At 39.3% G+C, this 17,083-nt stretch overlaps 1 long non-coding RNA gene across 1 annotated transcript in view, besides 1 other annotated feature; it reads right to left on the minus strand.

The window, feature by feature from the left end:
* Window positions 1-17,083, minus strand: part of MIR4300HG (MIR4300 host gene) — a 524,063-nt gene that overhangs the window by 117,138 nt on the left and 389,842 nt on the right. The window lies entirely within an intron of this gene.
* Window positions 6,141-7,340: an enhancer, noted in NCBI's record as "P300/CBP strongly-dependent group 1 enhancer chr11:81714171-81715370 (GRCh37/hg19 assembly coordinates)". NCBI's record gives its function as "activates an origin of replication core promoter dependent on BRD2, BRD4, P300/CBP, MED14 and CDK7 cofactors, with strong dependence on P300/CBP, by STARR-seq in HCT116 cells {active_cell/tissue: HCT116}" and the evidence as "EXISTENCE:reporter gene assay evidence [ECO:0000049][PMID:35650434]".

Raw genomic sequence — 17,083 nt, forward strand, 5'->3', positions numbered from 1 at the left:
ATGGGGATTGTTTAGGGGAAAAGGGCAGTCAGATTTTCCTCAGAGGGCTACCTAAGGGTCCCCTGCAAAAGAGAGCCACCACTTGAGGCTCTGGTTGCATGACCGTTTGGAGTTTGATGACCTCTAGGCATAAAAAAATGTTGTTAAGTATACATGGATCAAATATGTGTATTATACAAAGAGGAGTTAAAAGGAAATAATCTAGTGCCAAAGATTATAGAAATAAGTTAAATATACTAATCTTTCTGAAAACAACATTGTACTCTGAGCTGTTTTGCCCTAGTAGGAGAAATTAAACCTTGTATGAGAGCAGTTAAACTTTAGAAAGAGAGATAACTGCTTAGGGGAGTACATATTTCCGTGGGCATTCATGATTATAAAGGTGCCTTATGGTATAGAAAAGAATGAAGATAAGAGTAGCAAGCATAGGCAAGACTATAAAGGGAATATCTATGGAAGGTTAATTATTGAAACTATCTTTTGTGATTTTTAGCTTGAGGTCCTCGATCTCTTCACATTGTTGTTTTGGGTGCTCTTCTGGGTCGACGGAGGTAACTTCATCAGCGTCACAGGCCTTTACTCAAGTATAATGAATCAAGAATCTACCACAATGACCTTTATTGCCACAGGAGTAGAAAGGAGTACAGTGTAAAGGTTCCTCCCAATCTGGGCTTATATAGGGAGAAACGGAACAAAGTACCTTTACTAGGACCAGATCCTCTGGGTTAAATAGAGGTGGCCCTAGTTCAGGGGATTGGGCCTCTGACAGTTGTTTGAGTTCTTGTTGGAAATTGACCAAAGAAGTTATATGTTTAATCAAATCAGAGGTTTCTTGGTCTAGCAAAAAAATCGCTGATGAAAAAGGCTGTCCATACATCATTTCAAAGGGACTCAAACCCAGCTTTAAAGAGGTGTTTCTAACATGTAGTAGGGCTATGGCAAGAAGGGTAGTCCGGGAGATGAGTCCCCAGAGACAGTTTCCTGAGGTGCCTTTTGATGACATCATTTGTCTTTTCTACTTTTCCCAAGGATTGTGATCTCCAAGCACAATGAAGATGATATTGCATGAATAGTGCCCTTGAGACCCCCTTGGTGACAGCCACCTTGAACAAGGGGCCATTATCGCTCTGGAGGTACTTAGGGAGTCAAAAGAGAGGAAGTATCATATTAATTAGTACTTTTATCACATCAAAGCCTTTCTCTGTCTGACATGCAAATGCTTCTATCCAGTTAGTGAAGGTATCTATCCATACTTGGAGGTACAGGATGCCCTTTGCCTTTGGCATCTGGGTGAAATCCATTTACCAGCCTTTCTGCAGGTAGCATCCTATTGTTTGGGTCCTGAGGGAAAGAAGCCATCAATTGAGGGGATTAGTTTTAAGACAAGTCTTGCAAGCATTAATGACCTGTTTAACCATTTGTATCAGGTTTTTACCTGAGAATGACCTCTGGCTAATTGATAGGTTTTATCCTTACCCAGGTGGAAGGTCTAGTGAAGGCTTTTTAAAAGCTTTCCATTGATTGGCAGCTGGTAGATGAAGCTTGTCATCCTCCAATTGTAGCCATGCTGAGGACTGAGAGATGTATCCCCCAAGAGGTGGCCCATTCTATTTCCGCAGGAGAATATTGAGGTTTTATTTCTCTTATGGAGCCCTCCCAAATCAGAAAGTCTTCAAGTGGAACCAAAATCTGGGGCCCTCTTTCTCCTTATTTAGCTGCTTGGTCTGCCAACCTGTTTCCCTCAGCTATTTCATCCATCCTTTTTTGGTGGCCTTTACAATGTATTACTGCCACTTCCCATAGGAGGAAAACTGAGGATAATAGTCTACTAATTCCTTGATGGTATTTAATGGGAGACCTGTTAGCTATGAAGAGTTCCTGTCTTTCCAGATAGGGACATGCATATGAAAAACTAGGAAAATGTACTTAGAATCTTTATAAATGTTAACTGCTTTCCTTTTGCTTAACTCGAGTGCCCTTGTGAGGGCAATTAGCTTGGCTAGTTGAACACTTGTGCCTGAGGAGAGGGACACATTCTCAACAACATCATTTAGGGTAACTATTACATATACTCTGCTTTATGGATCCCTTATTCTACAAAAGAACTTCCATCCATAGATAATCCAGTCTAGCTTCTCTAAAGGGGTTTCCGTGAGGTCCCCTCTGGTCACATAGGTTTCTACTACTATCTGTTTCCAATCATGTTTGAGTTCCCTACCTTCCTTGAGGAGGAAGGTGGCTGGATTTAGGGAGGGACGAATTCTTAATGGTACTGCAGATCCCTCTAATAGCAAAGCTTGATATCTGAGGAGGCGGTTGTCTGCTAACAAGAGATTCTCCCTTAGAAGACAGTAGTCCTGCCACATTATATGGGGTGTAAACAGTTAAGCTATTCCTCATGGTTAACTTAGTAGATTCTGGTACTAGCAACGCTATCACTGTGACTGCCTGGAGGCAGGCTGGTCATCGACTGGCTACCAAATCAAGCTCTCTACTTAGGTAGCCCACAGGCTGCTAGGCTGGACCCTGGGCCTGGGTTAGAACTCCCAGGGTCATTTCCTTCCTTTCTGACACATAAAGATTAAAAGTCTTTCTATGGGAAGATTAAGGGGGCTGGTGCCTTAAGCAAGGACAAAGACCTGTCTAGTCTCCGGTTTCCAAATTAGAGGGTGAGTTTTAGCTGCCTCAGTCTCGTTAACTAGGTGATATAAAAAAAAACAAGCCATTTCACTGTACCCAGGTATCCATAGTCTGCAGAATCCTGTAATTCCCAAGAATCCTCTCAGTTGCTTGAGGGCTTAGGGGAGGGGAAAGGAGGAGATGGGCTTAATTCTTTATTTACCTAATGCCCTGGTCCCCTCTGACAAGACCAGACCTAGATACTTCACTGAAGTCTGACAGAGCCGAGCTTTAGATTTTGAAACCTTATTTCCTCTGTTACCCAGAAAATTAATAAGAGCCTTACTGTCCTCCTGAGAGTTTTCCTCAGTTGGGGCACAGAGGAGAATGTCATCTATGTATTATAAAACTTTAACCTGAAGAGAAAGGAACTCAGAGAGGCCTTTTGACAATGCCTGCTCAAACAAGTCGGGGCTGTCTCAGAATCCCTGACATAACATTGTCCAGGTTAGCTGGGTAGTCTGGTTGGAGGGATCCTCAAATGAAAACAAATACTGGGAGTTGAGGTATAATGGTATGCAAAGGAAGGCATCCTTTAGGTCCAGGACTGTGAACCATTTAGTCCCCTCAGGTATTTGAGCTAGTAGAGCATATGGAGTGGGAACCACTGGGTGAACTGGAACCACAGCCTCATTAATGAAGTGGAGGTCCTGGACCAGTCTCCATTCCTTCTTGGGCTTTTATACTCCCAATATCTGGGTATTACAAGGGCTATAGCAGGGTTTGAGGAGGCCCTTCAACCTTAAATATCGATGATGGCTTCCATTCCTTTCCTAAGTTCTGGTTTCAGGAGATACTGTTTCTGGTTAGGAAAGGAGGTGGGATCCTTATGATGGATCCAGACCACTATGGCAGTTGTGTGTGGCTCGGCCAATTTTCCCTCGAATTGCCCAAATTTCTGGGTTAATATTGGTCTTTACTACGGGGAGACAAAGAGTTTTTCCTGGGGCCATCAGGATGGTGGTCCCCATGTGAGCCAGAATATCCCTGCCCAACAGAGGAGTTAGGCTTTCAGGCAAAATTAGAAAGGCATGGGTGAACAAGTGGTCTCCCCAACTACAACTAAGGGACTGGGAAAAACATCAAGTTAAAGGCCTTCCTGAGACACTCCTCACTGTTGTGCTAAGAGAGGAAGGGGGCCTGGATTGGTGAGGAGAACCAAAAGACCCACTCCAGAATTTCCAGAATTTTGATTTCCAGAATTACCTGGGGTTCTTGTATGGTAATGGTGGTCTGGACCACTGGAGCCAGTGGGGAGGAGCCCTGGAACCCATCAGTCCTGCTGGACCATTTGAGAGATTGGCTCTGGACCCAGTGACCAGGGTCCCCTGGAACAGTCTGCCTTCCAGTGGTTCCCATTGCAGATTAGACAGGGTCGAGGTGGCTTCCTCATGCTGCCTGGGAAATCCTTCCTAAAGTGCCCTGGCTTGCCATATTGTAGCAGTTAACAGGGGCACTTCAGGGATTCTGGGGTTTGTGGGCTTTGTAGTAGTCATTAAAGCCTCTGCCACTTTCCTGTGTCTCCTTTCTCTCCCCTGGGCCTCCTGTCTCTGTTGTAAAAGACCAAGGTGACCACTTTCAGGAGGTTCTCTAAACTACTATCTGGTCCAGGGCCTGTTTCTATAGCTTCCTCCTGATATCAGAGGCTGTCTGCGTAATAAATTTATCCTTTAGGATTAGTTGTTCCTCTGCTGAATCAGGAGATACAGAGGTGTGCTTTACCAGGGTCCCTCTTAGCCTTTCCAGAAAGGCAGTGGGGTTCTCATCAAATCCCTGGTCTATCATAGATAGCTTGGTAAAATTGAGAGGCTTAGTTCTAGCCCCACATAAGCCCTCCATTATGCACACTGAAAGTGTTTCCTCTTCTATTCTTCCATCTCATCACTGGGAGCCTATTTAGAGCCCTCTGATGGTACCACTTCTCTTCCAGTTAAATAAAGTTTGTCCCTTTCCCTGATACTATATGACATACAAAGCTCATCCTCAAATCTCTCTGCTGTTTGCAGAGCAGCCTGCCTCTCAGTTTTAAGCAGGGTTTGATTCAAAAGTAACAACATCTTTCAGGGAGAGTTCAAATGCTAGAGTTAAATTCTAGAAAGCCTCTATATATCTGTCAGGATCATCTGAAAACTTGCCAAGACCCCCTTAATTTTTCTGAAGTCCTGTAGAGTGAAGGGGATCTGGACCTTACCGGGGCCAAATTCAATAGGAATCTGTTGGAGGGGCAAGAGTGAGGCTGGGGCTTGTCTAGGGTGAGGAGTTCTAGAAGGGGGCAAGCAAGAGAGAGAAACTGGATAGGGAGGACATGGTGGACCCAGAGGAGCAGGGCCAGAGGGAGCTGGCTCCCCTGTTAGAGGTGCCTCTGGGGCTTGTTTCTTTAGTTCCCTGGGATTTCCCCTTGCAGCCTCTCCTGAGATGGCAAACAGGAGGGTTGGATCAATCCTACATTGGTGGAAAAGGCCTGGATTACCTGGCAAGGTAAGAAAGGCCTGCGCATATGGGGCCTCAGATCATTTGCCCTCATGTTTACAGAAAAGATCCAACTACTGGATGGTATCAAAATGAATAGCTCCTTCCAGAGGCAGATCATAATTTCCTGCAGATCATAATTTGGCCAAACATTTGTGCAAAAGGCTATGAAGTATATTTCCTCCAGAGTCTGAGGGTCAAACAGTCCCAGTGATTCAGGATACACTCCAGAGGAGTATAAACTGAGGATGGTCAAGATGGTTGGTTGCTTGTTCTGAAAGAAAGAGAAATAGGCATCTCTCATTTCCTTCCGCCTTTCAGCAAAAACCCAGTGTGTGAAGAAGAGAAAAAAGGGTATCCCCCTTTTTGTCTTTCATCTTTTTATCCCCTTTTTAACCCCAAATTGCACATGGGTGCCAGTGCAACATGCATCCATGAGGCAAGGGGGCGGCTAGAGGATAGGAATTATTTGCACTCACCTACGCCTCCATTCCCCCTACTGCTGGAAACTTTTGGGTTCCCTGGGCCTCATCTATGCCATGGAGCATGGCCTTCTTACATGAAACAAGGACTTAATAGGCAGGAATTAGTCCTGCCCATCTATGCTTTGCCTTTTGCCTGCCTTTGGATCCCTTAGATCTAGTTTTCCTTTCTAGGGCTTCAACCTGAAGCTTGGAATCAAGTTGAGGACAAAAAGGTGTCTTGGGGGATACATGGATTCGTTTAGATTAAGTCCCAGGGGGCCTTGCCACATTTTCAGTCATCAGCCAGCAGGGTCGCTCCTCCACTGCTTCCCTACCACAAGCAGAGTTCAAAGGTAGGAAAAAACTTCCCCTTGAATAGAAAAAGAAAAAACAGCTTAAGCACAAGTGGGGGACGCTGGGGGAAGAACCTCTTGCTCTACGCAAATGGATTCTTTTAATCACTGTAACCTTCCTCTGGTTTGGAAGGAGCTAGACCCCTTGGCCAGGGGAGGAAAGACTCTGTGGGCACGTGGCAGGAGGGGTTGGCAAGTGGGAAACACTGGTCAACTAACCGTGTGGGGCCCCCGAGTCTGGTCTGGGGCTCCTGCGGTGGCCATGGATCCTTGCCACCCCTCATGGCCGTTAGCTGCGCCATGTGCATGCTGTGTACACACCCAAGCACCCAAGCTGGGAGAGGGAGCAAAGGAGAGCCGCCATGTGCTGTGCATGCCTGCAGCTGATGGAGTGGATGTTGGAGTAGCATCTCTAAGAAAAGATGGAAATTGCATTGTTCTGAATTGCATATCTGATGGCTTAGCCAAATGCTCATTCTACCGAGTAATATTCCTGCAGGTTGTAGCAATATAACCTTAACATTATAAAAGGAGAGAAAGGAGTCATTTCAAACTGTGAAAGAAGAAAGGAAAAATATCATAGAAGACTCTGGGGGTATTAGCTGACACCCTAATAGGTGGTTGGGGATTAAGCCAAGTCTAGGGTTCTTCCTGCAACACTGGGGAGTGTTGCTCAGCCAGATGCCTTCAATTGCCCCAGGACTTTATTTCAGTCCCACATGACAGCTAGACCTCTGTGAAGAAAAATGGAGCCAACATTCCTTTCACCCAAAAGAGAGAGGGGGCAGGTTCACATCCTGTCCTCCATAGCTGTGTCATTCACCCTTAAGTGACGACTCAGAGTTTCGATGTGTCATTTGCCTTCAGAGGAAAGTCTGAGGACAAGAACTTTTGGGGAAAAAAAAGCAGAGTAAGATCTGCATTTACTCACTCTTCTGATGAATCCCACATGAGCCCCCAAATGATGCAGGATATTTTCTTGACCCCTTCACAGGACTCGCGACAGGGTGTCCTGATTACTCAGCCTGAAGTGTTCAACTCTTCATGGGAGGGAGCGCATGAGCAAACAAGTGTGGGAACCAGCAGGCTGCTTTGGTGCCAGCAGGAGAAAACTTTGTTTACTGGAGCCCGCCATGCCCCACCCCTCACGGGAGTCCTTTGCCTTCCAGCTGTATTCACTTAAGAACATGATTTCCTTTCTGGATATTGTTACCAATACCTTCCACTTATTCCATTAGGCCTAGAGATGGTAATCCTTTGTTACTATTTTGTCTTTGCAGTTCTCCAACACTCAAATTCTATAGTTGACCACCTTTAAAATAAACTTTCCTCAAATAATCCAATTTCAAGTGTGCCATCTGTTTCCTATTGGAACCCTTCCTGATACAGATGGTTTCCTGGAAAAGACATCCAAAATGAAGAAAATGAGGAAAGTACAAGGTTTAATAATTGGTGTAGGAAGAGGAAAGATCATGTATGAATGCATATCAGGGGGCCAGAATAAATGTGACTTATGTGAAAGCAAACTGAAAACTAAGATTTCTATGCAATCAGTGGATAATGAATATGATTATGACAACAACAATGATAAAAGCTGTCTTGAGTTAGCAGAGGCTTTGACTAGCGCAGGGAGTGGAGAAACTAAAATCAAGTTTGGAACCAGGAAAGGAGCAAGTATTGAGTCAGCAACATTGGCAAAGGTAAGATACTAGGCTATGTATAGAAAGGTGGCCTCGCACCATGGGTGGATGTCAGTTTGTGGTACAAGGGAAACATTTCTGGGAAGGAAGTCAATATTTCAAACTGGTTTTTCATAAATATAGTCTGTGCCTGGGCTTTCTGATAAATCATGCTTTCTGCCACATTAGTCATGCACCTATTTATTGCACGTAATGGTGGTGGTGAAAGCTGAATTACTCTAAATGTGATAAAGATGATACTGGGGAGATGATGGGGTGATAGTGGTGACACAATTCAGAGTAATGGTGAAGAAAGTGCTAGTGTTGGGAACAGGAAGGTTAGTGAGGAAGACTTAAGATTGGCGTTCTATCTTAAGATGAGTGAGGTGGAACCAGGTTATAGAATCAAAGAAAGTGCTTGAGTCATTTCTGTTTCTCTATAGTTATATTAAGAGCAATGGCAAATGAAGATGATCATGACAACAACAGTGATAAAGACTCTCCTGAGTTAGCAGAGGCTGTGACTAGGGTAGGGAGTGGTGAAACTAAAATCAAATTTGGAAAGAGGAAAGGAGCAAGTATTGAGTATTATTCATATTAAAAGCAATGGCAAAAACTGCAGTTACTTTTGCACCAACCTAATAAAATGATAGCAGTACAGATTGAGCACTCAGTTGAGAGAGTACAACGATGAGCCCAGTGTCACTGAACTAAGATACTGCTGAAGTGAATAAGCAAATTTGATAAAATTCCCAACACCCCATCATTTTATATGGGTCTGTAATTTCCTGCCTCTTCATTCAATAGTGATGAGACATATCACATACTGCATTAATGCTACTGAATGTGCCCTCTTTCTTTTTGCTGATTCAGTAGCTCAGAAAACTACTTCTCTACCTATAACTTGTTCAGAGAAACTAAGCCCTCTTTAAAAGCATTGATTATAGATAAGAAATTCACCATCATATGCAAGAATAGTAAGAGTTCTAAATAGGCTTAATCTATTTAGGTTAAATAGTTTAGAGGTTGAAACATAATATTCTCCAAAAAAGAAAAATAAAATTAGAATTGATTGTCTACAATATGCCTTGGCTTGTGCTATGTGTATTAATTGTATTATTTTCATCTTTGTAGTATTTTAATTACTTTTTATCAATAGGGTAGCCATCTAAATTGGATGATGCTCATAGTATAATGGTCGTTAAATAACTTGACTGTTAACTCAGTACATAAAAGCCCTTGAAGATAAATATCTAATATTCTTCTGATGTTATTTGAGAAGCAAAATTTAAAAATATATCCTAGTCATAGAGAGAGAAGTCAATAATTGAAGGAATCATTAGACTTCCTGGTCAGTTCAAAAAAGTTCATGTACCTCAAACGGTGGCTGAAATGCTTTCCTACTTTGATAAACATTTATTAAGTATCTACTGTGTTTCAGACAGTATACTAGGTGCGATAAAGATATGTAAACTTCAAAAAATATTAAGTCATTAAAATCTAAATCAATCATATTATTTTCAGCAATAGAATGGAGTAAATAGGCTTTGGAGACTAGCCTGGAAATGCTACTCAATATCTTGGATTTTATTACCTTCAAAACTCAGGCAGCTTTTCAAAAGCAAAGAAATGACTACGAAAATAATGTTTATTAACTGTGGCAAGTAGTTTAACTCTCATATTTTATTTTATGATCATAAGAATTGAAAGGAGGGATAGTTTAGGTCAGTGCTTCCCAAATATTTTCACACTGTGGTACATAAAAAATTATATTTATACAGTATATTTGAGAAAACCAGGAGTTCGAGTGTATGTTTATCTTTTTGCCTTATACAAACACTATCATGCAGGAGATTCCCTGTAATTATTTCCTGTGTTCAGTTACTAGTTTCTTTCTTTCTATGTATCATGTCTGTTTATTTTTTTCTTTATCCCTTCTCTTTTTATGTTAACACAGATGAAGCAAATATTTATTTCAGTGTTTTGTTGATGATTTTTGCAACTATATGAAACTTGGCTTTTTAAATATTAGGTTTATATGGAAAAGTATTATTTGGAGGCCAAGGTGGGCGGATCAACTGATGGCAGGAGTTCAAGACCAGCTTGGCCAACATGGTGAAACCACGTCTCTACTAAAAAATGCAAAAATTAGCTGGGCATGGTGGTGCACACCTGTAATCCCAGCTACTCAGGAGGCTGAGGCAGGAGAATCACTTGAACCCAGGAGGTGGAGGTTGCAGTGAGCTGAGATGATGCCATTGCAGTCCAGCCTGGGCGACAGAGCAAGACCCTGTCTCCAAAATAAATAAATAAATAAAATAAAAAATATTAAATATTCTAACCCTAATTTTTTTTCACATTTTGATAAGAAATTTGAGTTTATTACTATAAACATAATTTTGGCAAATAATATTTATATTTACAAAATTTTATAACACTTTTATAAGTCATTTTTTAAATGACATAAATTCCAGGTCAAACTATTTAAAATTAACATTACTTTAACAAACTAATATGGTTTATTTATTATAAAATTATATTTATGTATTGTAATATTTGTTTTATCAAATGAAAGTATACAAAAGATTTACAAAAAATGCTGTTGCATTCCAACCCCACACCTTCCTACTCTCCTGGTTACCCCTCCCAAAGATGACCTCTTTCAAGTCTTTTAAAATAATGTATGTTTTATTTTCATTAATAAAATTCAGAAATTATCTTTTGAATTGCTGTGAAAGTGCCTGTGAATTTTCTAATTGAAAAATGCCATCCCTTCTGCCTCCCCTCTCCCATTGTCTCAATATCATTATTTCGTATTTATATTATATAGACTGTGTTTACATTATATGAAATGATTATATGAAAGATTATTTATAAACTGAGAATTGAAGTATATTTAATTATATTTCCTTTTCTACTTTTTGTTTTTCCTGAACAAATACTTGTCATTTTTGTTATTTGCTTATTTTGTTTGTACTCTTCCTGTATATTCTAAAATCGCCTCAAAACAATTTTTCAACAACTTCAGTCTCACTACGTAATCTGTCATTTCCTGTTTTCTCTTGGAGACTTTCCCGTTAGTGATGGCCATTCTCCTCACTGGGCCGAGAGTTCACTAGCCTTGTTGCACAGTTTGATTTTCTTTTGACCACACTGACCCTGTCCGGAATGGCCACATTGGGCACTGGGTTTATGTATCTTCTTGCCTTATATAATTGTTCTAATGGAGGTGATTCACTACGATTATTTTCTGTGTTCAGTTACTTGTTTCCTTCTTTGTTATGTATCATGTCTTTTTTGTTGTTATTTATATATGCCACCTTCCTTTTCTCTTTTAACACAGAATAACCAAATATTTATTTTAGTGTTTTGTTGAGGATGTTTGCAACTATGTTCCTTAGAGACATCACTCGGAAATATATTTTTTTTTCTTCTACTGCCTTTTACTGGCTTTGGTATCAGAGTATTACTGGTCTCATAAGATGAGTTTGGAAGTACTCCCTCATCCTCAGGTTTCTGGAAGATTTGCGAAGGATTCTTGTTACTTCTTCTTTAAATGTTCGGTAGGATTCACCAGTGAAACTCTCTGGCCCTGGACTCTTTATTGTTGGGAGGATTTTGATTACTGATTAAATATACATACTTATTTTCCTGCTCAAATTTTCAACTTCTTCATGATTCAGTTTTAATAGATTGTATGTTTCTGGCATGTATTCAATTATCCTAGGTTATTCAATTTGTTGGTATAGAATAGTTCAGTTTGTTCTGATCCATTTTATTTCTATGGCATTAGTTATAATGGCTTCTCTTTCACTTCTTTGCATTCTGCCTCTTTGCATTTATTTTTGATTCACATAATAATTGTAAAAACTCTTTTTCTGTCAGTTGTCTCTTCCTTGACATTATGGGCACACAAAGAAAAATCCTGAATTCTTTATAAGAGTTTGATGAAAGCTACTAATGTCCCATTATGGATCTTGTTTTACAAAATAGTCCAATGAATCTATATGGTAATTGAATTGAATTATATACAATAAATTTTATTCAATTAAAATTAAGTAAATGTTCCCTTTATTCTTAGCAATATTCATAAGGAAATACAAAAATATATGTAATGTCATTCCTTAAAATATTTAAGAGTCAAAGCACTAAAATTAGGTACAATGAACGCTGACCGTGTAAAGAGGATTAATTTTATATTTTCCACATGGGGAAATCTGTTTCATAAGCTTTTCAAAAGCTCCAGTTTTTCTAACATTTCAAAGACAAAAGAATTCCACATTTTATCTATTTTTTTTTTCATTTCTGCTTGCAAGCTGATAAAGTCTTTCCTGAACTCACATCTGTCTCTTCATTCATTGTTATAAACTGCCCGGAATAATCAACAAACTGTAGCATTCTAGTTCTTTTTAAGTTCTTCTCATAGAGATATGGGTTCAGTAGGTATATAATCTACTTTCCCAGTTAATGCAGGAGGTATTATTACTAAATATTTTTCCATTGTGTGCACAAGTCTTCAACTTTCTAGTTTTTGATACAATTTTCCTAGCTGTTTTTCAGTCAATCAACTAAGCCAGTAGCAGGTAGTTTACCTAATGTTACAGCAGCACACCCTTTAGATAAAACTAACAGATGTAATTATTATTAATTAAATTTTCTGTTTTTGCACATAGCTTATTTTTTTGCCGATGTAGCAATTCCAAACAGGTATTTTTCATGTGACCTTTTTCATGGTGATTGGGAACAAAGCCACTTACATTTTGTGGCTCTGCCATTGCTTAAAAAAGGGGTTAGAGGCCAAAACCTGTTTTTATATAACTCGTGAGCTGGGAATGAATTTTATGTTTTTTAATAGTTGAAAAAAATCAAAAGAAGAGTAATACTTTGAGAAAAATAGTACATTTTAGTGTCCATCAATAACATTTTATTAGAATGTTAATTTGTTTACATATTGTCTAAGGTTGCTGCTTTTATTCTAAAATGAGAGTGGAGTAGTTCTGACAGAGACTGGTAACTGTTTGGTCCTCAAATCCTAAAACATTTATTACCTGGTCCTTTACAGAAAATATCTGTCATTCTCTGCCTTTGAGATTCAAAGGAGTGTGTGTGTGTGTGTGTGTGTGTGTGTGCGTGCACACCTGTGCATGTGTGTGATGTGATTCCTGCTTCCCAGCAACGTTACTCTATAGAAAAAATGTACAACATTTTGTTGGGTAACTAGCTACCTTTGCAGTGGTCTGATTCAAAACCCTACTCCACAAACCTTTAAATTGACAATACCCTTTTCCCCTTGTCTCTTACTTCACCATGGTAATCAATTTAATTGGATTAATATCCTGCCTCATAATAAAATATCAAATATAAATGACTCAGGGATGCAGCAGCATACTATGGCCTTAAAATGAATGTAACCAATGGTTTATATAAAAACAGCTCATAGATTCTAGCCTTGAGCTGGTTTTTCATGGGGGTAAATGTCAACTACCATGAGCCAGAGACTTTTATGTGAGTTACCTTATTTACTCAGGACAACAAATAAAATAGATGTAACTATTCTCTTTTATAATTGTGGGATATGGGGTTCAAAGAATTTAACCAAATTCCTCAAGAGTGTATAGGTAGGTGGAAAGTGATAAGATCAAAATTCAATATTAAATTTTGCATATTACCTCAGCCTATGTTTTCACCATTTCCCCAATTGTGATAACTGTTCAAATTCAAGGAGGATGGGCTTAAAATAGAGGATCTTGAGAAAGGAAACGGCCGTCTGCAAATGAAGACCTGAAATCATTTAGAGGTTTACCATTATCACAAGAAAAATGACATGCAAAATGTTTTCATTCTTTGGAAAGTGTGATGGGTTTTATTAGATTTATGTATTCAGTTGAAATCATCTTCGACAAGCTGTTTCTGGAGTATGAAGTCTATATGACAAAACCGTCATTAAAATAACAAACTGGAGTAGTTAATAATAGTTAAACTAGTCTCTATGCAAGTTTTTATCTGCCAGATTTAAAATATTCAACACAGAGAAAAGGTGATTAAATAATGGTTACCTTTAGAAGATAGTAGTTGGCACTGGGAAGGGGCACAAAAAAAAATAAGTCTGGAGCGCTAACAGTATTTTATGTTTTCATGAGGGTAGTGATGACAGAAGTGTATCTACTTTATAGAAATTCATCCGTCACCTAAAATTTGTGCACCTTAGTGTGTGCATTTCATGTCAAAAATATTTGATAAAAGATTTCAACTCTTAGAAGGATATAATATGTCATAGCAGGCCAAACATTCTCTAACAACAAGAAAAATAACACTTTAGTATTTTAGTTTTAAAAACATCAGAATCTTAACAAACAGTCGAGAATTAACAAATTAAAATTTCAGAGCAGAGAACCTTTGTTAGGTGAACTGATAATCTCTAGCAGAACCCTTCCTTGCCTTCCTCTTCTCCCTTCTGCCCCACCCCAACAATTTCCCATAGCCTCTAAGTATTGAGTTTGGCACAAGCAGAGGGCCTTTAAAAGGGAAAAGGAAATCAGCAAGGCCAGGCGCTGTAGCTCATGCCTGTAATCCCAGCACTTTGGGAGGCCGAGGCAGGTGGATCACCTGCAGTTGGGAGTTCGAGACAAGCCTGACCAACATGGAGAAACCCCCATCTCTACTAAAAATACAAAATTAGCTAGGCATGGTGACGCATGCCTGTAATGCTAGCTACTCAGGAGGCTGAGGCAGGAGAATCACTTGACCCTGGGAGGTGGAGGATGCAGTGAGTCAAGATCTGCCATTACACTCCAGCCTGGGCAACAAGAGTGAAACTTCGTCTCAAAAAAAAAAAAAAAAAAAAAAAGAAAGAAAGAAAGAAAGAAAGAAACCAGCAATGCATTCAGTGGCCATATAAGTCTGGAGAAACAAATTAAATACTTGGGAACCTCAAACTCAAAGATGGTTTACAAATGCTGAATTCTAGGGTTGCCCAGAGGCTGGGGAATTATAGAGCTTTCAAAAGGAAAAGGAAAATGAAATCTTCTACAGTGTGTGAGTGTGTGTGTGTGTGTGTGTGTGTGTGTGTGTGTGTGCGCACACCTAGGAAGCAATATTCTTCATGGGAAGAGATCAACTTCAATTATATAGCAGATATTTTCCTCATGATATTTATCAGAATATGAAGTTTCTTAGAGCATGAAGTTGGAGACTTGGAAACCTCTCAAGGTTAGAGATACGTCACCTAAAGTTTTTGTAAGCTGAGAGGGTAGATACTGACCAGTTTTCCAAAAAAAAAAAAAAAGAAAAAAGAAAAGAAAAGAAAAGAAAAAAAGGAAAAAAAATCAAGTTAGCCAGTAAATGCTCAATTCCTGATTTAATTGAGGCAATCAATCCCCTACCCAATCTGCCTAACTGATGAAGGGGGAAACCTTCCTGGGAGTAGATAGCTGGTCTTTTACTTCTTGAAAAACCTTGACCTCTTCACGCAAATTGATACATTTCTTTCTAAGTGACTGTCTTTTCATAACAAGGTTTTAGTTTGTCTTCTATGGCACTTGAGCCATAGGAGATATTTTACTCTTAATCCCAGGTCAAGGCACTTTACTTCCAAAGTGTCATATATTCTGAAGAATAAGATCTGCATTAGCAAGAAACATGCTTTATGGAAATCAGTTGCTCCTCTTTGGGCAAGCTGAGTTGACTGATAGAATTTGATGAATGTATGTTGGATTGAATTGAGCAATCTTTTCAAGAATTTAGGGCAGTTTTTAAAACCTTTTTACTAAGTATAAAAATGCTTACAAAGACTAAACGATTGTTTCTAATCAAATAGCAAATTATTAACTGAGCTGAGAGACTACAAGACACACTCCAGTGGTTTCTGGATACCGTTGGTATGCATCAAAATTACTTGGGAAGGTTACAAAGCAGATACCAGGTCCCATAAGAATTAAGAAAAACTGCTTCATTGAAAGAGTTCAGACTTTGGATTCAGATGGGTCTGAATTCCAGCTTTGCCTCTGATTAACTTTAGAACAGTTAATTAAAATCTCTAAACCGAATTTCTTCAGTTGTCATGTCAAAAGAACTAAACAATCCTTGGCTTATTCCTGGAGCTGGTGTAAAGGTTAAGTGACACACATAAATACTGTTAATCCCAAAGTATCTGAGACAGGTCTCAATCAATTTAGAAAGTTTATTTTTCCAAGGTTAAGGATGCACCTGTGACACACCTTCAGGAGTTCCTGATAATGACATGTGCCTAAGCTTGCTTTTATACATTTTGGAGAGACATAATACATCAATCAATACATGCAAGACTTATATTGGTTCCATCTAAAAGGGTGGGACAACTCATAGCAGGGGCTTCCAGGTCATAGGTAGATCTAAAATTTTTCTGATTGGCAATTGGTTGAAAGAGTTATTTTCAATATAAAAGAATGTCTGGGTTACAATAAGGGGTTGTGGAGACCAATGTTTGATCATGCAGTTGAAGTCTCCAGGTAGCAGGCTTCGGAGAGAATAGATTGTAAATATTTCTTATCAGACTTAAGGTCTGTGGTAATGTTAATGTTAGTTGGCTTTTCCTGAATTCCAAAATGGAGGAGGATATAATGAGGCACGCCTGACACCCCCTTCTCTTCACAGCCTGAAATAATTTATCAAGTTAACTTTGGAATGCCCTGGGTTGAGAGAAGGTGTCCATTCAGAGGGTTGAGGGGCCTTATAATTTTATTTTTGTTATAATATATAAGATAGCATGCAGCACATAATACATGCTCCATAAATATTTATTTACTTTCCCTTCCTTGGGCTAGAACCCATTCCCACCTACCTTTTAGCCCTGTGATCATTTTGGTAAATTTAAGTAGAAATCTTTTGAATTGGTCAAGTCTGTTGAATAGCCACACAGTAGGCAGATGATAGAAACTCACAAAATGGATCTTAGGTACTAGAAAGAACCTTTCCGGATTCTGACTCACCCAGAAGGTATAAAGGTCCAGGACACGTGGGTAATAGTGGCCAGCAAACACACAGAACATCGGGGCCAAGACAAGACCAGTAGTTTGGCTTACAAGTTCCAAAAGTTTAAATAACTGCCTTGAGGAAACAGGGTAATTGGAAGTAAATTTGACAGAGAGCTTGTGAAGCAAGCTTTTCTTAGGCAGGTGTTTTAAAGAATCCCCTGTGAGAAGCAAATGCCTGCAAACTTAGTGAATTTCAGAATTCAACCACCACCTCTGACAGGTTCTGTGACAAGCAAAATCTATTCAGGCCAAGAAAAAGGATGGTCTTTTTCCTCCTTTTAATTGCACATTCTCATTTCTCTTACTCTTTAATAATAGATTGTTATAAAATTTAGCCAAATATCCTAGCACTCTAGGAAAATCATGCAAAATAAAAAAAATCAGCAATTAAAATATAAAAATACTATTGATTAATCTTGTGCAGATCA

The sequence above is a fragment of the Homo sapiens genome, chromosome 11 (genome assembly GCF_000001405.40).
Source record: "Homo sapiens chromosome 11, GRCh38.p14 Primary Assembly".
Classification (NCBI taxonomy): Eukaryota; Metazoa; Chordata; class Mammalia; order Primates; family Hominidae; genus Homo; species Homo sapiens.